At 38.7% G+C, this 25,281-nt stretch overlaps 1 protein-coding gene across 3 annotated transcripts in view, besides 3 other annotated features; it reads left to right on the top strand.

The window, feature by feature from the left end:
* The window catches only part of COLGALT2 (collagen beta(1-O)galactosyltransferase 2), a 108,067-nt gene that overhangs the window by 27,217 nt on the left and 55,569 nt on the right, over positions 1-25,281 (top strand). The window lies entirely within an intron of this gene.
* Positions 8,080-8,224: an enhancer, noted in NCBI's record as "145 bp enhancer 281 fragment used in the MPRA reporter construct; PK_construct_3308". NCBI's record gives its function as "activates an SV40 promoter by MPRA in HepG2 cells {active_cell/tissue: HepG2}" and the evidence as "EXISTENCE:reporter gene assay evidence [ECO:0000049][PMID:23512712]".
* Positions 8,147-8,157: a transcriptional cis regulatory region, noted in NCBI's record as "NFE2L2 motif; enhancer activity is reduced when this motif is scrambled". NCBI's record gives its function as "necessary for full MPRA enhancer 281 activity {active_cell/tissue: HepG2}" and the evidence as "EXISTENCE:site-directed mutagenesis evidence [ECO:0005528][PMID:23512712]".
* Positions 20,987-21,066: an enhancer, noted in NCBI's record as "active region_2229". NCBI's record gives its function as "activates an Ori minimal core promoter by ATAC-STARR-seq in GM12878 lymphoblastoid cells {active_cell/tissue: GM12878}" and the evidence as "EXISTENCE:reporter gene assay evidence [ECO:0000049][PMID:35858748]".

Raw genomic sequence — 25,281 nt, 5'->3', positions numbered from 1 at the left:
GTCTTTGGAGTTCAGTTAGCTCCTTGCCCCTCTGTGCCTTTCAAGATTTGGAGACATTTGATGATTCCATAGCGAAGCTCTCCCAGGCTGCCAGACTCTTTAGTGAGGAGACACAGTTGGTAAATACCTGTAGACACAGTTGGTAAAACCTGTAGCAGAGATCCTAAACTAGGTGCCTGTGGGCCAGATTGAACCTGCTCTTTTTAAATTGCCAATATTTAAGGATTTCCTATAAAAATCTGGATTTCTGCCTTCTCTTTAAGAATTGGAAACTTTGGTATTACTGGGCCTGAATTTCTAAATGGCAGAATAATGGCCATACCTTGAGTCGGGGTATGTAGTCTCTCAACCACATTATTCACCTGCATGACTGGCTGGTCCCTGTAGATTTTTAGGTGAAAAAATCTAGACCCCAGAGCCATGCTGGAAACCTCTCTGTATCCAGTGGAAGATTTTGCAGGATCCTCCCCCTTGATGAAGTGACAGCAACTGGCAACTCCATTGGTACCTCCAGGAATCTACAGCATGGACATAGTCATAACTGATGAGTGTATGGAAACTGGACTTTTCTTTGGGATGTTCAGTGCTTTCGTGTTACTTAGCTCTCTACACTGGGCAGAGCCTTGGCATGAGATCTGTGATGCCTACAGAACACAAGCAAAAGTAGAATAAATAGAAATTATGACCAAGAGGCAGGAAGAGAAGTCAGATTTTTAAAATACCATAATAATTGCAAATTTTAAATTTAAACAAAAATATTTTGTCTTAACTCTCTCTGTCTCCATTAACTTCTTGGACCATTACTACCAGGTTCTGGGCATTCAGTGATTTGGAAAAAAGTGGTATTGTCTTCTGTCAACAATATGAATATAATCCCCAAGATGATCTACTCATAATTCTCTGTTTAAAATCTGAAAGAATCATAAAAACTGTTATTTTGAGGTTTAGAGGAAGTAAGGGGGATTCATATGGAGAATAAGACAAGAAAAAACAGAGGATAAAATAAGTAGACATAATCTGAAGAGCTGCCATTTACAATCTAGATTTAGGAGCTTTCTGGCATAATTGACCAAATATAATACATACTGAGAAAGGGACAAGGTAAGAATCATGCATCTATTAATTGTACTTATACCTCACCCTTTTCCAAAAAGGATTGAAGGAAATTATGTTGATTACGAAAATGTCAATCTCTTAATAAAATGCAATTTCAGGATGTTGAAACAGAAGGAAAATTTTGTTGTTCTTAATTCACATTTAACAAATCATGTTTAATGCTGACAACTGCCTCTCTGATCTTGACTTTGTTCAGGTTCATTTCTCAGGATGTGGAGATTAATGTGTCAGAACTCATAGCACTGAAGTTTGCAGGCTTATTTGTCTATACTTCTTGTCTATTAGATCTTATTTTTTACTTTAAGAACAGAGTTCTCTTTAATTGTACTACAACCTTACAAATAAGTATACACAGAAGACTTTCATGTGAATTATCTATTGTTTTACTTTTTATTTTGAAATAATTTCAAACATTACAGAAAAGTTGCAAGAATAACACAAAGGTCTCTCATATACCAACATTTTGTTATATTTGCTCTATCATTCTCTCTATATGAGTGTTTTTATACATATTATTTTTTAATTATTTGAGATAGTTTGCAAACCTCATGCCTCTACTAAAAATACTTCAGTGTATTTTTCCTAGGTATAAGAATATTTTCTTTTACATATCTGTAGTTCAGTTATCATATTCGGGAAGTTTAAACTGATGCAATGTATTTTTTAGAGACAGGATCTAATTCTGTTGCCCAGGCTAGAGTACAGTGACATGATCATAGCTCACTGCAGCCTTGAACTCTGGGGCTCAAGGGATCCTCCTGCCTTAGCCTCCCAAGTAACTGTGACTACAAGCATGCACCACCAAGCCTGGCTAATTTAAAGAAAACTTGTGGAGGTGGGGTTCTCAATATGTGCTCAGGCTGGTCTCAAACTTCTGGCCTCAAATGATCCTCCCGCCTCAACCTCCCAAAATGTTAGGATTACAGGGATGAGCCACAATGCCCAGATCTGATACAATACTTTCATCTACAATCTACATGTCATCATTTTATGAATTGTTGTAATGTCATTTATAGAATTTTCTTTTTAAAACAAGATCCAGTCTAAAATCATTTATGGCATTAAGTCATTCTGTCTCTTTAGTCTCCTTTAATCTGAATTAATATTTAATTTCAGCCTTTCTCTTTGATACTATCGATCTTAAAAAAATACAGGCCTGTCATTTATAAAATATTCCACTGCTTCTCCAATGTTTCCTCATGATTAGCTTTTGTTTATCCATTTGGAATACTGTATAAGTCACGTGTCTTTGGTATCACATCTGAAGGTTGACGTCTGTTTGCCCCTTTCTAGTGATGTTAATTTTGATCACTTGGTTAATGTATTTCCAACTTCTCTAGTGTATAGTAGTATTTTCCTTTTGAGATTAATAAGTAATTTTTCCCATTAGACTTTTAGTTCTTAGTTAGCAGGAAGCATTCTGTGATCCTAGTTCATGTCCAGTGCCAAGCGTGGGCCCTGGTAATGGGGGGTGATGAATATTTGTTTAATAAAATGGATCTGTTTATGTATTCTACTTTAATAGTTCTGAGAGATTTTTATTGAGAAAGATGAGGTAATGTTGGTAGAGGAAAGATTAAAGAAAAACAGTAGGGTAGAGCTCTTTTCAAAATGTTTGAGGAACCTGGGATAAGCTTGAGGACCCTGGGGGCCATGGCCACTGTGAACCAATTTCACAGAGCTCCACACCAAATGGAACTGTGGTCTTGGTTCTTGGAGCAGCTGCAGTCCCCAGGAAATGTGCCCTATTCTAACTCTTCTCTAAGGAGGAAGGAACATATTAGGAGGGCAAGACCTACCCACAGATTAAGGTAAAATCTACATGATTTGTTGCAAGTATTATGTATCGTTTGAAAATTACTTCAGTTTCCATTATTGTAAAATACTCTCATATTTTAAAATATGATATTTAATCAAGTCTGATATACCATGATTTTATGTATTGTAGAAAAAGAAAGGAAAGCCGCAAGTTAAACTATGGCATAATTATTTCTTATCACTTAGAATTTTTATCTTATGCTTATCAAAATATCTCTTTTAGAGTTGTTGAGACATAGATGTTTATCTCTTGTGAACACATACAATAATAAAAGAAATAAAGGGATTGAGATTTGCCGAAAACTTCACAGGCAGAGTCCAACTCTCCAGAATCACCTTTTTCCCAAGAGTCATAGAGGTCTGTGCTTTGCACATGGTGTTATTCCCTGTGCCTTCATGAGCTTGGGGTTGCAGCATTGCATTGTGCTCTGCTTTTGTTTCTAGGATTTTCTTCTAAGCCACTGACACCCATACTGCACATTTTAATGCTGCCTCTGCTTTGATCTTACCAGGATGTGTTAGCAACCATGGCTAACACTGCTTCCTCAAATGGTCCCTAAGAGCTTTTTGACTGAAATCTTGAGGGATAGTAGTTGTTCAATGGTAAAACTAGAATGAACAACCAAGTTCACTCATCACAGATAACTAAGTGGCATCTACTGACTGGTCTAAAGTGATTGGCAGATGCCAGGTATTGCAAAGTGCCAGTGAATTCAGAGATGTTAAGATAGAGGAGGGAAAATACGTTATTAGAATCAGTGAGGTACAACTTGTATATGGGTTGTTTAAAAGTAATTAGCAATGTTAAAACAATGATATTATGCAGGGTTGGTGAAGATGTGGAATCAGGCCTGGGTATTCCTAGTACTATAAGTTATTACTTTTCTGAAGGGTAGTTTAATATAAATAAATAGCCTCAGTTATGTTAGTATCCTTTGCCCTCATAATCTTTTTATTATTATTATTATTATTATTTTATTTTTATTGTTTTTTGAGATGGAGTTTCGCTCTTGTTGCCCAGGCTGGAGTGCAATGGCATGATCTCGGCTCACCATAACCTCTGCCTCCCAGGTTCAAGCGATTCTCCTGCCTCAGACTCCCAAGTAGCTGGGATTACAGGCATGCACCACCACGCCCAGCTAATTTTGTATTTTTAGTAGAGACGAGGCTTCTCCGTGTTGATCAGGCTTGTCTTCAACTCCCGACCTCAGGTGATCCGCCCACCTCGGCCTCCCAAAGAGCTGGGATTACAGGCCTGAGCCACCGTGCCCGGCCCATACTCTAATTTTTTTAGCTCTAGTCTAAGAAAATAACCAGAGTTGCAGTTAAAGATTTATGAACCGAATATTCACCATGCATTATTTATAAAAATGAAAAATTGGGAACAAGTTAAATGTTCAACATATGGGAGTGGAATGAAAGAATGTTTTCAAGCTTTCTTGAAATTATATGAACAAGTGCTCCCTAGAGCATAGAAAACTGTACATATAGTATGCTCCCAATTTTGTTTAACCACATACTAGAAGGGAGAGAGAAATATAGCAGGATGGGGAAAGAAACTGGTATGAAGATGGTTTCTTTCCAATAACTCTCCTCCAACAGCAGGGGAAGAGCTTTTTTCTTCCTTAGATACCTAAAACCCTTCCCAAGTTTCTATGATAGCAAACAGATTAAAATTTGCCACCGGGTCCTGTTGACTTTCTCTGACATTCTCATCCATCCAATAACTTGCACTTTCTGTCTTGTGTTGGGGTTCAGGCACCACTGGCCTCATCTGTGAACTCATGAGACAGGCCCAGTGGAGGAGAGGTCTCATGATTCGCACCAGGGCTGAGGTGTCTCCTGGGGAATAAGTCGAGTTCTATCAGCACTCAGGGGCCAGCTCTGCAGAGATATGACTGGTGACTTGGTGGAGTGAGGACGGAGAGGCAGAGTGTGGATGGGCTGTGCAGAGTGCTGAGAAAGCTTGCAGGAGAAAAGTCTTCCTGTCAAAGAGTTCCAGGCAGGAAGGGCATAGGTGGGAATTCTGAGTATAACCAGGTAGCTCTTTTCAAATTGATACCTAGGCTAGATCCCACACAGTTGTCTGGGCCTTAGAGACCACATTCTGTGACACACTGAAGCCTTTGCTCCACTAACCAGAAATATCCCCACTCCCCATCCTTCTGCCACTAGCAAAGAAGTACTATGGCAAGAGAGCAACTTAGCAACTAGGAGAGATTAAGACAACCAGTTCACATGAAGTGACGGGGTCAGGGAGCCTCTGCCAGGACTAGAGGTCCTGTGTGAGAAGGTGAAGGAGAAAGCCAAGCTTTCTGAGGAGCTGACACTTTTTAACAGGTCTGCATCCATAGGCCCAGGGAGCCTGGAGAAGTTTGGGCCTTCCTTGCCAGTCATTCTTTCCACAGATGTTGACTGAGCCCCGGCTCAGTAGCGTGCTCTGGGTCCTTGTCCTGGTTCCAGGCAGGCTGAGGCAAAGAGGGCTGTGGATCACTTGCGGGAGCCCTCAGCCAGCATTCCATCATGCCTCTGTTTTCAGGGGCCTCCTGGCCCCAGTTTCTATTCCTTGTTAAAAGAAATGACAGCTTTCTTTGAGTATAAAACATTAATTATTCCCAATGGTTTTCACAAACTTCATGATATGAGGAAGGTTTTGATGGCCTTCAGAATCAACTCCATGACAAACCACCGATCCCTCGAGGGAAGGATCTCTCTGTGACTCCCACGTCCCCCTGCTCTGTGACTCTCTGTGACTCCCTGTGCTCTCTGTGACTCCCATCTCCCCCTCCTCTTGTCCTGTGCAGTGGCTCCCTGTGGCTCTGTAGTGAGACTGTTTTGCAGTACAGCAGACTAGAATAATTTTTCTACAAAATTACCAGAACATTAATGTTCTCTATGGTGTCTACCAAGGGCCATTGTCCCTCAGGATGTTTGTAAATCATCTACAGTGCCAGTTTAGAGATTATGGAAATAGAAAATTCTGTATCATGTATACTATATAGTTGCTGAGTGATTTTTATAGAGAAGTAGTTGCCTCTGGTTACATCTCCTCCTAAAAGGGTTGTTTAAAATTAAATGAAATAGAGAAACTTAAAAATACCTAAAAATGTTGTAGAACACAGTTAAAGATGTAGATCACTCTGCTTTGTTATTCTTTGCATATTTCTGATATTATTTGGAATAAATCCTTTGTGTTACTGTTTACCTCCTACTTTTTCTATTAACTTCAAAGTTTTGCAAAGTGGGTAGTTATGGGTTTTTTTCCTATTATTACCAGACTTCAGGACACCTCTATGAATTCCAAAGTTGTGCTGCTTTCTTGCACCTTGCCATGGTTAGGGAAGAGTGACAACCTTTTACATCTTAGGTTCTCATTTAGCCTCCCAAAGCCTTCTTTGGATAAACTAGACATGGATTTTAAGACCGTAGCTAGCTTACTATTTGGAAGATGTGAAGTGAAGGTTATATTCAACCTGCACCTTAATCTATGATTAAAAAAATAATGCCGTTTTAGATCCTGCATGGTGGTGGTTTTCTTTTTCAATTAATAATTTGTTGTGAAAAAAATACTGATAAGGTTTGTATCATGTTGACATACTATAGTTGTGGGAGTATGATATCTGATTTTAAAAACTAAAAAGCCTGGAATATCCTCTTCGTCTTCTTTGGACTTTTTCACATGTGCTCAGTGGGGATTTGGGCTTTCAGAGTCGTGTTACTAGTGGAAGCCGGCAGACCTGCTTGTCTCTGGCATCATAGTTTCCTAGCAAATGTCCTTATTTTATATAGACTTGGAAAATGTAATAATGTATGTACATGGTAATAGAAAAATTGAAATGGTATGAAAAAGCAAACAGTGAAGAATAACTCTTTAAAAACATACTATCTGTGCAAGAAGCCACCTCAAACTTAGTATCAAAAAAGCACAACTGTTTTACCACAATCATCAATTCTGTGATTTGGAAATTCATAAAGGGCACAGCAGGGGTGACTTTTCCCTGGAACCTTATAGGTTCCATGATATCTGCAACCTTGGCTCAAAAGACTGGAAGGCTGGGAGGCTGCAGCCATCTGAAGGCTCATCACTCCCATGACTGGTCCCTGGACTGGACGGATTTGAAGACAAGGACTATTGAGCAGAGCATCTATCGGTAGTAGATCATCTACTCGGTAGTAGAGCACATGGTCTCTCCATGTGTTTGGCTTCCTCACAGCATGGCAGCCTCTTACACAGTGACTTTGGACTCCAGTCATGAGTCTTTTTGGCCAACACAGAGAAAGCTGCCTTGCCTTTTCTGACTTAGCCTTGGAAATCAGACAGTGTCACTTCTGCTTCCCAGATTTAAGAGGAGGGGACCTAATCCCTATCTTTTGATAGGAGGAATGTCAAAGTCACATCATGAGATGAGAGATATTGTTGCAGTTGTATTTGGAAAGTTCAATATATGATCTTTCCCCCTGAAATGTGGAGATTATTCCATATAGATCTCTGAGACTCTTTATGGCTACATAATAATGTATACATCATTTTCACAACCAGTCACCTACTGTTGAATATTTAGTTTGTTTCCATTCTTTTGATAGCACAGTATTTTGATATTTTTATTATATCTTTATTTAGTTTGTTTCCATTCTTTTGATATCACAGTCTTTTGATATTTTTATTATATATTTTAATGCTATTCCAGTATATTTATAGGATATAATCTTATAAGTGGTATTGCTGGGTTAAAAAAATGTGAATTTTAAATTCTGGTAGATATTAAGCCCAGTCTTTTGCATCAAGATTATTTTGGCTGAGAGTGATGAAAAATCCAAAATAACAATGGCATCAAGATAGAAAGACAGAAAGCATGGAATAAGAATCCAGACCTAAGTCCTTTTTTCACTGTACCAAACTAGAATAGGACTAAGTTATAAACTCAGCATTTATCAGCCAAAATATTACTGCTTATCTCTGAGGTCCCAATAAGGTTATTTGGTCCTATTTTATTTTTGTGGTATCTGAATTGTGTATACAAAGATTAACTTTCTCTATAATAATTATTCTTTAAGTGGAAAATTCTCTTCCTGTCGCTACAAAGCAGCAGCCTGCCTAGGGAAAGCTATTTTTTCATCTTTGTTTCAATGGCTTAGTAATCCCCTTTGCTGTTTCTTCTTTCAGATCTTCTAGCCTCCTACTCCTCACACAGTAAATCCTTTCATAAAGAACGGCTGAGTCATGAAAGGGAATGCAGATGGCCATGAGTTTATTTCCTGGCATGGAGTCTAGCCCAGGTTTCTTCTCCCAGCCAGGGGCAGCTGTCACCTGACAGCAGTAGTCCTCTCCAGGCCAAGTGGACTTCGTTTATTGTTGGGCCCAGGCCCTCAAATCCTGCTGGTGATAGAAGCACAGCCTGTGGAACAGGCTAGATAGGAGCCCAGGATGGATGTACAGTGAGCACTGGGCTGGCTCCCAACCCAAACTTCCACTAGTCTAGTGTTTGCTTTCAGTAGCAGCAAAATGGAAAAATCATAATCTTCAAAATGGTGTGAGGAAGATAAAATAGGAGCAAGGGGTGGCATAGCTAGAGGGTTTAAACTTTGTCATTCAAAGGCTGTACTTGGAAGAACCTTATAAAGCAATGAAAATTTCTGCCAGAGAAGCATTAGGCCCAGACTTTTAGACCTGTGGGATATTCCCAACTACACCTAAGGATTTGGCCTTGCAACTTTACCTGCAGATTATAATGACTATGAGATTCAGGGAGTAAGAAGCAGGAAGCAGGGCATTTCATGGGATGTTATATTTCTATGTGATTTCAACTGACTTTCCTAATAATCAAGAGACCCAGAATAATAGTTCAATAAATATGTAAATTAACTTGGTGTGACACGAATGTGCTGGGGAAAATTTGATTATCTGCATATATGAAAATGTGAAATTGGGATATATTAGTCATCTCTAGAAATGAAAGAAAATGATGCTTTAAGTACATCATAAGAACAAAGTAACAAACTGGAAAATAGAGTTAAAAAATTATACTGCATGCAGTATATAAAGTCAAAAAGATGGAAACTATGAAAGAGAGGTTTAGACATATGGAAGAAAACATGAGAAGCTTTAATATATGCTTGTTGGAATTCCAGAAGTATATTTTTAAAAGATTGAGGGATAGACAGTACTTGGACATAATATGGGTAAGAATTTTCCAAAATCTATAAAAGATACCAATCTTCAGATCCAGATTCCAATGAATCTCAAGCAGAATAAATAAAAAGAAAGCCACAACTTGATGCATCATAGTTAAGCTGAAAAATATTTATTTTATTTTTTTTAAAAAAGTAGAAGACCTTTAAAACAGCAGAGAGAAAGGATAGATTACCAAAAAAGAACAACATAGTACAGGAGACTTTTCAAGAGCAAATATCAAAGCCAGAATAACATCTTTAAAGGACTGAAATAGGCCTGGCGTGGTGGCTCACGCCTGTAATCCCAGCACTTCGGGAGGCCGAGGCAGACGGATCACGAGGTCAGGAGACCGAGAACATCCTGGCTAACACAGTGAAACCCCGTCTCTACTAAAAAGAAATACAAAAAATTAGCCAGGCGTGGTGGCGGGCGCCTGTAGTCCCAGATACTCGGGAGGCTGAGGCAGGAGAATGGCGTGAACCCGGGAGGCAGAGCTTGCAGTGAGCCGAGATCGCTCCACTGCACTCCAGCCTGGGCGACAGAGCGAGACTCAGTCTCAAAAAAAAAAAAAAAAAAAAAATGGGGGGCTGAAATACACTGTCCTCTTAGAATTGTACACCTAGCAACACTTCCTTTCAATAAGGAGAGTCAATTGGAGACATTTTCAGATAAACAAAAATTGAGATAATTTACTAGTAGGTAAAGAATCACCTAAATCCATGTACTTCAGGGAAAAGGTAAATAATAAAGACTTAAGATGCAGAAATCTATGATGAACAAAGAAAATGTTAAACACGTGGGTGGATCTTAAATTAATTGACTTTATAAAATGAGAACAATACTGTGCAATTTAAGGGATTACAAAATCAAGATAAAACTAAAATATGACGTAACAATATTTCATTTGGGATGGGGGTGACTATAGTTAAATCATTCTAAGTTCCTTGTATTGATTTGGAGAGGGTAACATTTTTATTAAATTTAAACTTTGTCAAGTTAGATATACACATCTTATTTTTATGATAGCCGTTAACTACTGAGGGAGAAACATAAAATGAGAGGAAAACATCTCAATCAATCAATCAATAAGTTAAGAAAAGAAAAATTGAAAAAAAGTACCACCACTGCAGAACATATTTTCTTCTCTGACACACATGGACCTTTTACAAAAAATAGACACATAGAGGCCAAAAAACGAGACTGAAAAGTTGAAAGGAATTGGCATCATATCACATTCTCAGAATATATCACAACCAGACGGAAACCAAAAGCAAAATAACTCAAAAATTGCCATGATTTGGAAAATAAAAGTCACAATTATAAATAAGTCAAGGATCAAGGAAGAAATAATAATGGAAATTTAGAAGGCCTTGACTTTTATTTTACTAAATAAGCTAAGAGGTGAACTTAAGACATTTGCGGGTAAAAAAACAGAATAAACCCAAGGAGACAAGGAAGAAAATAATGCATATAAAGACAGAAATTAATGAAATAGAAACTGAAGATATCAAAGAGGACTAATAATCCAATATATGGTTCTATGAAAAGAACAATAAAATAAAATCCTGGTAAGACTGGTCATACAAACAGTATAAAGGATGAAAAGGAGAATACATAAATAATGATGTAACTAATATTGAGAATATAAGAATGCTATAAATACATTTATACTAATAAATTTGAGAAATTAGGTAAAATATTTAAAATTCTGAGAGAAATACATATAACAGTCTGACTCATGAAGAAAGAAATCCTGCACGTTTTTATAAACATTGAAGAAATTGAGTCAGTAGTTTAAAATCTTCCCCCAAAGAAACCATTAGGCCCAGAAGATTTTATAGGCTTTATATATTATTTCATGAAAAGATCATTCCAACATTATATATACTCATTGAGTGATTAGAAAAGCAGGGAATACTTTTTCCAATTTATTTCGTGAGGTTAACATAACGTAATACTAAAATCATATGAGGACCGTATAATAAAAGAAAATACTACCTAATTTTACCCATATACATAAATGTAAAAATCCTAAGCAAAGTACTAATAAACCAAATCCGACAACATAGCAAAAAGATACTGCATTGAGTTGAGTTTACACCAGGAATGGAAAGTTAGCTCAACATTAGAGAATCTACAGATGCATTTTATCATATCGACAAATTAACGGGAAAAAGCCATATGTTCATCTCAATAGATGCAAAAAGTGTTTTATTTCAGCAATCATTCGAAACAAAACTCTCACCAAGAAAATTTTCTCAACCCAATAAATGCTACCCACAAAACAAAACAATAAGAAAAGCCAAACACCAAAGCAGACTGTAACAAATATCATATTTGATGGTGAAATGCTATAAATAAAGGAAGTAAAAGGTTAAAAATTAGAAAGGAAGAAGTAAAGCAATCATTATGTATGTATGTAGATATGATTATCTACAGAGAAAATGCAATAGAATTTGCAGATAAATTATACAAATTGGTAGAAAAATATAGCAGAATTCACATATGAAAGTCAACTGCATTTCTGTTAGATACCAACTGAGTATCTAACAGATACTCATTTATTTAAAAATATTATTTATAGTAGAAACCAAAAATGTAAGGTACCTAAGAATAAATCTAACAAAAATAATATCTTTATGAAAAAATTCTGAAACTTTATTAAAAACATTAAGGAAGGCCAAAATAAATGTGGAGACATAGATGTACATGGAAAGGAAAAATTGATAAAGATAATGATTCTCTCCAGACGATTAATTTAATGCAATTCTAATAAAAATCCCAAGAGGATTGTTCATGCACTCTGAGATGCTGATTATAAGATTTATTTGAAAGAACAAAGGACCAAGAATACTCAAGTCATTCAAAAAGCAAAACAATAAGATGAGGGGACTTTCTATCAAAAGACATCCTAAAAATAGTGGACAAACAACCCATAAAGTGGGAAATCATTTTTGCAACCAACAGAGGAATAGTATTGAGAATCAACCAACCGACAGAGAAATAATGTAGAGAATCAACGAAGAACTCATGAATAAAAGAGAAAAATCAAAGAACCTAACAGAAAAATGGGCAAAAATACAAACAGGTTTCACAAAAGAGGAAGCACATGAATGACCATAAATATATGAAACATTCCACCACCTGATAAGTAATAAGGAGATGCAGATAAATACCACAATAATGTATCGTTTCTCAGCAGCCAGGTTGGCAAAAATTTTAAAATCTGACAACATTCTAAGCATTGCTGGGAATATATATGCAATAGACACTTGCATATACTGCTCCTGGGACTATCAATTGGTGCAACTACTTTGAAGACAATTTGGCATTCCCTAGTAAAGTTGAACATATTCAGACCTATGACAGATCCAGGAATGCCACTCCTAAATGCACTATTGTTCATATACAGCAGGGGATACGTGCAACAAAGGTCATAGCAGCATTGTTTGTAATTGCAAAAATCTGGAAATATGCTAAATGTCCACTGACAGTCAAATAGATCACTAAATTATAGTATAATAATACAGTGAGGTATTACAGCATTGGCAGTGAATTTATCAACTACAGATAAAAGTATCAACATGTGTAAGTTTTAAGTCAGTGTTAAGCCTACAGAAAACACATGTAACATGAATCTATTTATATAAAGTTCAAAAACAGCCTAAAGTATAGTTTGTTTGGGGTTATATACATATGTAGTGAAACTATAAAGCAAGCTTGTCCAACCCACGGCCCATGGGCCACATGCAGCCCAGGACGGTTTTGAATGCAGCCCAACACAAATTTGTAAACTTTCTTGAAACATTATGAGGTTGTTTTTGCAATTTTTTTATAGCTCATCAGCTATCGTTAGTGTTAATGTATTTTATGTGTAGCCCAAGACAATTCTTCTTCTTCCAGTGTGGCCCAGGGAAGCCAAGAGATTGGACACCTCTGCTATAAAAAATACTAAGGGAATTAATAACCAAAAATTCAGACTAGAGATTATTGGCCGAGAAGGAAGAGGAGTAACTAGGGAAGGCACAAAGCGGACTTCAAAGAAATCTACTTCTTAAGCTAGGTGGTATGTACAAGGGTTCATTTATCATTCTCTTAAACGTCTATATAATCTTACATGGTAAAATTTATAGTAAGACATATAACAATTTATAATGTCTTACTATACAGAATACTGTGGGGGGAATCTTTTTTATTTTATGTTTATCTTCACAACAACTCCGTTAAGCAAAATGTGGTTTTTTTCTACAGAAAATGAACTTGAGAAGTAAATTGATTTACTTGAAATTCCATGCTAGGTTGATGGTGGGCTTGTGGCCAGACCTTAAGCCTCTTGTTCTATAGAGCTTTTTACACTGCCTGCCCCTGATCCACGCCATGAATTTGTTTATTCATTTATTCATTTGTCCATTCACTCATTCACCTCATGTGTATTGACCCCCTTCCTGACTCAGGCACTATACCATCGAAATTCTTTCGATAAGCTCAAAAATGTAAAAAAGCCTAAGTAGTTAATATTTTGATTGCCTGAGTGGCAGTGCCCTCTGGGTGCATATTCACCCCATTTATAATAGGTCATTTCCTCAACCCATGTAGTATTTACTTTCTTAGAGTCTTGGACACCTGCTGTATGTCCAGACCTTCAGTTTCTGTCAGTAGGTATTTCTCACTTGAGAGAGAACTGCAGGCTTCTCCAGTTAGCACCCTTGCCCTGTGTTTAGAGAAGGCCACTGCACTGAGGTTTTAAGGCAGATAAGCAGTGTCAGCTGACAGGTCCTCACCTCTAGGCAGGCCTTTGTTCACGAGGTGGGGAACTTAACAGAGCCTGCAGGAATGTCAAAACATTTACTTTTGTCTGAGGATAGATAACTTGGCAGAAAATACCCCTTTTCAGAGCTCCAGAGTCCAAAAAATGTTTTGAGCTAGGTCTCCTTATTGCATCTTCATGGAGTTTTCTGTCCATTTTGTCTTATCAGTCCTGAGTTTTAGATGTCTTTGTTCAGCACTGAAGCCCAATCACTGTCTACACCTTTAAATCGCCTTGTCTTTAGATGGGAATTCCAGCTTCTAAGGATTCTAAACATTATCACTTCAGCTTTCTGCCTTCTCTTTTTCATATAGATTTTCTTCTGTTAGCCTGAAGGGATCACAGGGTGATTTCCCTGAGGGTTTATCAGAGGTGCAGGGAAGGGGTGGGAGAAGCCTGTGCGCCTCCTCCCCAGCATGCGGGCCAGCTGTGGTCCAGTGCAGAGCTGTTTATTTCCTAACATTTATGGCCTGTCTTTCATGGGCCTGGCAGCGTACAAGGCATTGGAGGTCAAACCAGTTGGGACAAGACTAGAAAAGAATACTATAAGATTTAAAATACAAGAAACACAAGATTCGTTTACTTAGATAATTCAGGTAAAAGAGTTTAAAAGAACAGAGCTCAATAAGATTGAAAAGTTAAAAACACGTATTACAGTTGAGATTGAATATAAGGACAATAAATAAGGAGTAAAAAGGAGTAAAAATATAATAATAAAATGGGGTATACGTAATTTTTAAAGTAAAATGTAAGATTCAAAAGGAGAATAGGATAAGATGACAAATTAGAATACCCCATAAAAGTGCAATTAAAGGGATAAAGAAAGACAATAAACTTACATGTATTAAGGTAATTGGAATATTTTAAGTAAATTGGGATATTAAAGGGAAAAAAATGTGAAGAAAAACCAAAGGTTTCCTTAGAAAAACAAATAGTCAAACCAAAAAAAGAAAAAAAAAATACACACCCGCTGGAAGCAAACATACAAGGTAGTATACAAGAAGCCCTTGAGCGCTTGCTAGCCTGACGTGGCTCTGGCTTCCGGAGGCTGCGCCTCCACTGGCAGAATGTCCTGCTTGAAGAACTCTCTGGAAGCTGCCTAGGGATTTCTCCTGTTCCTCTCCCTCCAGCCACTGCTCACTCAAGAGGATGTTTATTTTACTGAGTTTGACACGTTTGTTGTATTCCACTTTGCTAAGGTTTTAAGATTTTTGTTCATCTATGTTCAGACATGACTATATGTGTTTTGAACTGTTCATTATAGGTTTGGAGTTCAAAAATCACTTTTGCCAGTGGTTAGATTTTTTAAAAATGTTTGGTTGTTTGGGAGATTTTTTTCTCTCAATCAGGGCCAAATGCCTTTTATTGGATTATAGCACTTATTTCTTTCACTGATGAAGTACTTACATTTGCAATTTTCTTGCTACAAGTTTGGAAATTTTATGTATTCAGAAATGACTATTGATATGTATTCATGTTATTGTTTTTCTTCTCTTTGTTTTTTTTCTAATGTTTATTCTTTTCATAGGTGATTTCTTAGTCTTTACAACAATGCAAATGTGGAAACTAAGGCTTATAGAGATGTTAAGTAATTTAGCCAGGATTAAATAGCTGAAGGGTTTCAAAAGTCACTTCACCATACCGCCTTCTGGATAAAATCTAATTTATCTATAGGCAGTATAGTCAAATACATTTGGCTTTATTTTCTATTTTTAAAAAATCTGACTAGATATAGGATCCTTGATTTTATGCCAGGTATTTTGTTATTACTCCCCATAAGACCTTACCAAAAAGAAATCTCTTCATTCCTTGCTTTTGAAAATTCACCTTTAATTTGCAGGTTAAGGCCAGGCGCAGTGGCTCACACCTGTAATCCAGCACTTTGGGAGGCCAAGGCGGGCGGATTACCTGAGGTCAGGAGTTTGAGACCAGCCTGGCCAACGTGGTGAAACCCCGTCTCTACTAAAAATACAAAAATTGGCCGGGCATGGTGGCACGCCCCAGTAATCCGAGCTATTCGGGAGGCTGAGGCAGGAGAATCGCTTGAACCTGGAAGGCGGAGGTTGCAGTGAGCTGAGATCACACCACTGCACTCCAGCCTGGGTGACAGAGCAAGACTCTGTCTCAAATAATAATAATAATTTGCAGGGTTAATTAGGCTTGAATCGTGGATCCATTACTTACTAGCTTTGTAACTATTTTCTCATCCATAAGATACGGAGAATACCTACTTCCTAGGATGTTGTAAGAATTAAAGGAGAGGCCAGGTGCGGTGGCTCATGCCTGTAATCCCAGCACTTTGGGAGGCCGAGGTGGGTGGATCACGAGGTCAGGAGATCAAGACCATTCTGGCTCACACGGTGAAACCCTGTCTCTACCAAAAATACAAAAAATTAGTAGAGTGTGGTGGCGGGTGCCTGTAGTCCCAGCTACTTGGGAGGCTGAGGCAGGAGAATGGTGTGAACCCGGGAGCTGGAGTTTGCAGTGAGCCGAGATCACACCACTGCACTCCAGCCTGGGTGACAGAGCAAGACTCTGTCTCAAAAAAAAAAAAAAAAAAAAAAAAAAAAAAGAATTACAAGAGAAAATGAGTGTGACTTATTTTACTGAATCCTTGTCTTGAGTGCTACCTTGTACCAAAAGGCTTCTCTTCTGTCTTCATACACATAACAGTCCTGATGAAAGTTTTGGTTCCTTTTGGATCCTCTGCTGAAGAAACTTGGGTCAGTGAGTTCAAATCTAGCTCTGGTAATGCCTAATTCCCTCTCTAAACATCAGGATGTGGGAATGAAAATAAGAATTTTAACAGCGACATGTTCTGAAATAATTTACAGAGGCAATTGAAAAATTAGGAAATTCTGGGGACATGAACTTTGAATGTTGGACATTGTTGGCTTCCTTCACATGGCACCTCCAAAAGAACATGGTGGCAGCTAGAGACTAAAGTATGCCTTAGACATGGCCTGACCTGGGGCTGGGGAAGGAAGGGTGTTCAGAGCTGCCCTTTGGTCTACTTGTTCCTCAGGGAGTCATTGGGTCCTTTTTTGGGTCTGAAAGGGAGGTTGCAGCCTTCTCCCTGCATTGGCTGGAGCTGGACTCTGTTTATAATGGTGCATACCAAATCCTCTTGCTGGATTTCTAATTTGGCTTAAAAGACACACCCCAATGAAAGCCAGAAAGAATTACTCACCTGTTGCCATATTTACCATCTACCACAATTATATTTGCTTGAACCTCTGTCCTGGCCAGATATTTCCTGGGTGCTGCCTTCAAAGCAACTGATTGCATTCCCCACTTCCTCTTAGATAAGTTACTGGGCTCCCCTGGAGCCTTCAGCAGCTTAATACCAAACAGCATCTGATTCCTTCCTGTTTCCAGAGCCCACATGAAAGTCAAACTTTCCAGATATGGATTATGAAAGAGAGAGGAAGTACCCCAAAAGTCATTTTGTCTTCTTTATCTGATTGTGTATTTCATTTTTACTGGTGAAAAATACATGTTTTAAATATTTAGAGTTTTCTTGTAAAAAGTGAGGATGGCATTTTTGCATCTAGTTATTCATTTAGCAACCCTTTACCCAGTGCTGATGCCAGGCACTGTCCTGGGCTTGAGGATACAGTGATGAGCAAAGACAGACATATCCCTGCCCTCATGGAGCTTATAAACCATTAGAGGAGAAATACATTATTGAGTACCATAGAAATAAATGTAGAATTACAACTCTGATAAGTACTAGAAAGAAGAGATACATGATCCCAAAAACCATATAACTGGGGGATTTTACCCATTTGGGGAGGTTGGGGAAGGCTTGAGCACCTTGGAAGTCTAGAGCCCAGTATCCGTGTCCTACCTTCCAAAGTCACCAGATGAAATCTGGAGCAAGCTTTTAAAAAGCTAGTGCATCAGGCATCCTTTCAACTGATAACTCTATTCACAGCAAGAGCAAAGATTCTTAAACCTATCTGTCAGAGACCAGATAAACAACTTGACTGAAAGTTTTGAGCAATATTAAAGAGGACAGTCAATCAATCATCATTAGGTGCCATTCATTCTTTAAGACATCATTGAAAATTATGAGTGCTTCATTGACTATATTTCTGAGGCATGAAGATGGCTCATGACCCATGGGGACTCTAAGCTGACTTAAATGATCTGTGGTCGCAGCAGTTTTACTGATAACGTGAAGCCTACTGATATACCTAGCACTTTGAAGACAAAGTTAGAATTTACCCTCTACTATCTTTAAAAGTATTTCCTTCTGTTTTAAACTTCACTCCAAAGGACAGCTTCAAAATAAGCCTCTTAGAGTAGTGGTAGATGGGACATCATGAGTCCAGCTGTCTGACTTATGTCTGGCTCTAATTCTTACTACCTCTGAGACTTTGGACATGATGTGTCACCTCTCTGGACCTGATTTTCCTCCTCTGTATAATGGAGATAGTAAGAATACTACATCATAGGGTTGCTGTGAGGATTAAATGAGATGTTGCTAGAGTTCTAGGTCAATGCCTGGCCAGGAGTGAGCACTTAGCTGAGGTTTGCTCTCACTGCTCCCCTCTCTGCAGAAGAGCAGTGAGTAGTAAAGGCAACAGCAACACATCTATATGCTGTGTATTTATGCATGCTCCTCTCCCAGGAGCAAGTGACAAAGCCACACAGACCCTGGGAATGTTAGGAGCACACGGTGTTCCTTCCCTCTGACAGTAGTTTTCCAGAATAGAAATGGAAAAAAAAAAATACCATCAGAATAGCCTCCTGTTTGCCCTGACACTACGACTAAGTAAAATAACTCAAGACTCCTCAAAAATATGACTTGGGACTCTTCAATTTACTGTGGGTGTGAGTATAGTTTATGAACATGTATCTAACACCTGCCAAACTGTAGTCTCCTGCAACATTCCCCCACCACCGCCATGTGAAGGAACCACAAATGAAGTGATATGGGAAGACCAGACTGAAAATTTCTCAAAGCAGGTAAATTCAAAGCAAACATTTGTCTCTCCCTCCTGAAATGGCCAGGAGTGTTGTTCCTGGAACCAAGACAACAGGTATTGGATAACAGTGACTGACTGGGCTGACATTTTTTTTTAGTCAGGGCCAAGTTGTCATTCTGGGATACTCTGTGGGAAAACAGCTTTGAATTCAGTTTGTAAATTTATACTTTTTCTCTTTGTTCACATTTCTAGTCCAGCTTTCTCAATGGGGAAACAAATACTGTAGCAGAGAAAAGTGTGATGGCTTTTTAAAAAAATCAAAATGATTTATATGCATCTAATATTGTTCTATTACAGATTTGCTGCTGCTTTTCATTAAGTAATAGACCCTTAATAAATATAACCACTTTATTTTTGTTCGTGTCATTGATTTATACAAGCATTTATTTGTTCACTTAGTCATTCAACAAGCACATGTTAAGTGTTTACTTTGGACACATGATCTGGGAGGTACAAATGAAGTTATGAAGAAAATGGGTGGGAATGTTAGAAATCACACCTTTCGCAGAAAACCCAGACTATGTGGCAGCTGCACCTGCGGATGGAATTGGAACTGAATAAAATAGGCCAGCACATGATGTATATTTTGAACATTTCCTCTGAGGAATCAAAGAATAAATGCATGCTCATGCTAACAGCAATACCTGTCACAATCTGGAAAAACACATAATTTCAGAGAATTATAAACCAGTTTATTTTTTAAAGGAGGGCAAGATGCTAGGGACCCAGGAAAGGGGGTCACCCCTCTTCACTGTGTCCTGTGCCTACCCTATCCCTGACAATTGCATCAGCCCTAACACCTTACAGCCATCTCGCCCTCTTGGCTTGTAAGTCCTAGCCCAACAAATTTACGTGGAGTTCCACAAACACATCAGACTCTTTCATCCCTTTCTGCCTCCACATATGTTGTTCCTTTTTCTGGAACATTCTTCTTTCTACCTTCCCTTAATGTCTGCTCAATCTTCAAATCCCAATTCAAGCCTCTGATCCTTTGAGAAGCCTCTCGTGGCCCTTCCCACACCTTTCTAGCCACTCCCTCCTCCCTGGCACTTGGAGACCTTGTCATATATCCATCGTCAACAATGTCATACCAAATTACAGTTATTTATTTACACATCTGTATTTCCTGTCCATCTGTGAGAAACTGGGTGCATCTTGATGTGAATGACAAGGTGTTGCTTTCCAGCAAGTGCCACGATCACCGGCACAGAGGACATGCATAGCCAGTGTCTGTTGAACTGAGGGAACTGTACAGGTGTTTTTATAGTTCTTATTAGGCTAGGAGTTTGATGTGAAAGGAACCATTCAACAAATATTTATTGAGCACATACTATGTGTGAGGCACTGTTCTAAGCGTTAAGAATGGAGGAGTAAACAGAAGAGACAAATGTCTCTGCTGTCATTGAGCCTAAAGTTTACTCTTTAAGCCGGACAGTCATAGACTCAGCTAAAAATTCTATTACTAGGGAAAAAGAGAAGAACTGATGTTGAGATAATTAGCAGTCCTTGCTATGGGCATGTGTATCTTTTATTCTTAAAAAATGGTAGGCTGTGGTAATTCTAGTTTGTTTGTCTTAAATGAATGTGTTGAACTTTTTTGCATGTGTCTTAAGAGCCTATTCAACAAGCTGTCTTATTTCTTAATTGAGGATCTGTGTGTGTGTTGGGGACAGCCAGGGGAAGGCCAGCTTTCAAGGAAAGTGTTCTTGAAAGCTCCTTCACATGCTGTTGGCTCCTCAAAATAACCCAGTGAGCTAGGTAGATGCAGCAGATGTTATTGTCCCATTTTACAGATGGAAAAACAAAGCACAGAGAGTTCAAGTAAATTCATTAAGATTACAGAGTTAATTGGTGAAAGAGCCATGCCTCCTGACTTCATACTTTTTATTTGATTAAGGATGTCGTTAGCAAAATAGTAGGTCAAGGAACTCAGGATTAATAGATAACTAAAATATTTATTGTCATTCTTAACTGCAGTTGTTTCCAGAAAGGAATGAATCAAAGTAAATCTTTCTACACAGAACATGGACACTTCCTTCAGCTTTCTCCCAGTCCTCAATCCAAGAGACCACTTTGCCCACATTGTCACTGCAGTTCAGCCAGTTCTCCTCCAGAGAATAGAGCAGGGAGATCCTCCTGTCAATAATTGCTGCACGTAGCAAGCCCAGTCCTTGGGCTGTGACTTTCCCTGTGGTCGCGCTGGCTCCAGTTCCCCCATGACCTCATGTTTCAGAGGCTCCATGTTTTGCTGTAGCATTGCCCTGCCAGGCACCATGAGGCAGTGCTGGACATCCCCACTCAGAGTTTAATCATCCATGTCCTGTTTCAGCTGCTCCACCCAGCTCCTCTGCTGAGACCTGACACTTCTCACTTCCTTGCAACTGCCCACGCATTCCTGGGCCCTTGCATCTGCTCATCTCATGTACAACCAAGATACTCATGAAGCAGAGTAAAGGATTCCTCTCTGCTACATTGGAACAGAAAACTGAGAATTTCAGAAATTAAGAAAAATACATATCAAAGATCAAGTATAAATGGAAAGAAAACCATCTTTGGAAGAGAGTCTCTAAGCCTCACATTCCTCTTCTGTAAAATGGGGATAATAATACTTAAAGGAAAATTACTTTAAATGTTAAAGTTATATACGTAAAATGGTCAGCTTACTGCCTGGAACATAGTAGATTCTCCACAAAGGGTAAAGAATAAAATAAAATAAATTTTATTCTTTTTCCATAGTATTTAAAATTTGAGCAGCCGTACTCAGGGTAAATGAAACCATATGTTCACACAAAAACCTGTACATGAATGTTCATAGCAGCATCGTTCATAGTAACTAGAAAGTGAAAGCACCCAAATGTCTATTAACTGATAAATGAATAAACAAAATGTGGCATATCCATACTATGGAACATTATTTAGCCATAAAAAGAAGTGAAGTACTGGTACGTGCTACAACATGCGTGAACCTTGAAAACAGTATGCAAAGTGAAAGAAGGCAGACACAAAAGGCCACAATCATATGATTCCATTGATAAGAAAGGACGAGAATAGGCAAATCCATAGGGACAGAAAGCAGAATAGTGGTTACCAGGGGCTGGAGGGGTGAGAGGTGACTGCTAATGCATGTAGGGTTTCTTTTTGAGGTGATGGAAATGTTCTGGAATTGGATAATGGTGATGGTTGCACAACTAAAAACCACTGAATTTTATATTTTAGAAGAGTGAGTATTCGATATGTGAAATATATCTCAATAAAGTTGTTAGTAAAAAGTTTGTGCAGCAGTAATCATGTCTTAGTTGCTGCGCAATGAGAGGAGGTATGTACGGTGTTTGCAGGAAGTGTACACTTACACTCATTCTGTGGTGCTGCCATCATTTTTTTCTTCTTTCCAATTCTCTTGATATTAGACTGGGTTGAGAGAATTAGTTACATCTTGCTCAATCTGTGCATGTTTGTCTTTTCTTTCTCATGGAAGATGTTTTCTGTTTTGTGAAAGCAGCAAAGTGATAGTATTGCTGTCCTCCCAGCCATATTTGAAATATTTAATTACTGAAATATGTGCCCTGAGCATGTGTGGATAGATGGACCTGGGCTATTAAGAGATGAAATAATGTGTTTTTTATGTTGATTTCCAGAGACCTCCTGCCAGGGTGGAATATTTTCATGGCATTTCAGCCTAAAAGTTTGTACAGGTTATAAATAGACTTTTATCTCTAAAAAGTAGATAGCCAGCTTCTCTTGAAACAATTTGAAAGCCTAGCATTTCTGGGCACACATTCCAGTGCAGCAGCAATCAGTTGGGGCCCACATGTGCCTATTCTCAACAGTCCTCCTTTCACACTGTTGGCTCATACATGGCCCATTTCATTTCTTTGTTATCTGTGCTCAGCATTTATAGGCATTTGGGTTGGATGGGGAGAAGTTCCCTGAAATTGTTCATTCATTCACTCATCAAACTCATGATAAGTGCTTATTTTATAGTGAACTGTTAAGTACTGGGACAGTCCCTGTCCTCAGGGAAGAAAGTCAAGTAATGAAGAAAGAAATAGAACCAGTTAATTATAACACAAGAGCAAGCACAGTGCTGGAAGCATGGCAAGCTAGTGATGCATAATTACAGATAGAGGGTGTCCAATCTAACCTGATGTGTTTGGAGATGTAGAGGTTCAGGACTCCTGGAGAAAATGTTTTTGGATCCTGCTGTGTCTTCTCTTTAGTACCAGTGCTACATTTAACTAGTAACTACATGTCTTCAGGGTACATCCACAAAATAAAGAACTTAACAGAATTGGAAAATCCAATAAGGACAAGAAAAGGGGCCATGATGAGTGGGTGAAAAAGGTGGGAAGAAGAATAAACAAGGGCCAAAGGAGAACGAAAACAGGAAGAGGGTAGATAGACAAATGAGAAACATATTTGTCTTGTCTCAGACACTCCCACTGATATTTTCATGGAATTCCAAGGGTTGTGACTCCAAGGAAAATTATGCTGAAAGTAAACCTAAGCAAAGCTTGTAGGGAATGAATGAATCTTCCCATTTTTCTTTTGTTTTTTTGCTAGAGCATTTCCATCCTGTCATCCTGAGATGATCATATTGGTCATATTGATTCATATCCTTGACAAGGTAGAGAACTTCCAATTTGACAGGTGTTTCCTGGTCATCTACTCTTTGTTGGACAGGTGTGGTGGGGAGCCTGGAGTGGGAGGGTGGGTGTTGAGGGATGGATTAGAAGGCCTAAATAAAAAGGCCAAGCTCTAGCACCCACCATTTGCATGACTTGAGCAAATCATAACCTCTCATCCTCAGCCTTCTTTTCTATAACAGGGGAAATAAAGATAATGAGTAACTTAGTTAATCATAAGGCTAAAAATGGGTTAGTGTGTGGCATAATGTTGAGAAGTTCTTAACACAAAGAGAAGAAAAATATATCTCCGAATCATGAGTATAAAAAATAGCTCAATTATAATATGTTTAATTAAGTTTATTAATTTTATTGAAAGATGATAATGGGCTTTTGAATTGACTGTTAACTGGTCAATCAGCAAATTTTACCATCAGGAAAAATTTAGAGATGCCATTTAGGGATGAAATTGATTGGTTGCTTGAATTTCTAGAATCAAATATTTATTTTTACATCACATATACCCAGGCTTCAGGTGTGTCGTGTCTATGATTGTTTCTGGGATGAAATGGGGCATACTGAGGAGGGATGTTGAGGAAGTATAAACATTAATTTTGTTGGTGAGGAATTTTTCATGAGAAGTGAGTTTTTCTGATTTCTTAGTTCATTGGGAAGAATTGCAACTAAGTGACTTGGTATGAATAGGATCTAGGAAAAGGCTTTTTGTGGGAGGAATCCCCAGACCCCCAATCCATATTCACGTCTTTAACCATATCCATATCTAGTTTCCACCCAGAAAAAGGATTCCAGATCTTTAGACAGAATTCTACCCAGTAACCAAGAAAGAAGAATCAATTGGCATATTTTGCTGAGTGGCTGAGCATGTCTCTGCCTTTGGCACGTCTGCTGCTGGGGAGGCTTTCCTTGAGACTGGACACAGAGGTGGCGGGACTCGATGATATGACCTTTCTTGAAAATGAATTACAGTAGTTGCTTTCATTAGTGGAATTTTATTTTTAGGTGGAGCTGTTTATTTTCTACACCAGTGAGTCTTCTTTGCTCAATGAAAACAAGAAGCATCTGAGAGGGTAGTTCAGTGTTTGAAGTCTCGAATTGGAAAATTTACCTTTGCCAACTCACTAGTCATGGTGAGGATTGTCCAGGTGGTGACTAAGTTTGTTGTTCATTCCACTGCCATTCCCTTGAGCCTCTGGGGAATGTATTTTGCAGGTTCTCAGGCAGCAAGATCAATAGATCAGTCGTTGTCCAGTGTTGCCATCCTGCTACTCCACCAATCGCAGACCTCTTCTATAGTGACAGAGGTCTTAGACTTTCTCGGGTGTGGCAGGGAAGCTGAGGACATTCCCTGAGTCTCAGTACAGATGGAAGTGATCAGAAGTACCGTGTCCTGGCCGGGTGCGGTGGCTCATGCCTGTAATCCCAGCACTTTGGGAGGTTGAGGCGGGTGGATCACCTGAGGATCAGGAGTTCGAAACCAGCCTGACAAACATGGTGAAACCCCATCTCTACTAAAAATACAAAATTAGCTGGGCATGGTGGCGCATGCCTGTAATCCCAGCTACTTAGAAGGCTAAGGCAGGGCAATCACTTGAACCCGGGAGGTGGAGGTTGCAGTGAGCTGAGATTGTGCCATTGCACTCCAGCCTGGGCAACAAGAGTGAAACTCCATCTCAAAAATAAAATAAAATAAAGGAGTACTGTGTCCTCAGTTTCCGTGTCCCACCTGCTGAG

This window comes from Homo sapiens, chromosome 1 (genome assembly GCF_000001405.40).
Source record: "Homo sapiens chromosome 1, GRCh38.p14 Primary Assembly".
NCBI lineage: Eukaryota > Metazoa > Chordata > Mammalia > Primates > Hominidae > Homo > Homo sapiens.
Note: the sequence above shows the minus strand (reverse complement) of the source record. Positions and strands in the feature narration are given on the sequence as shown.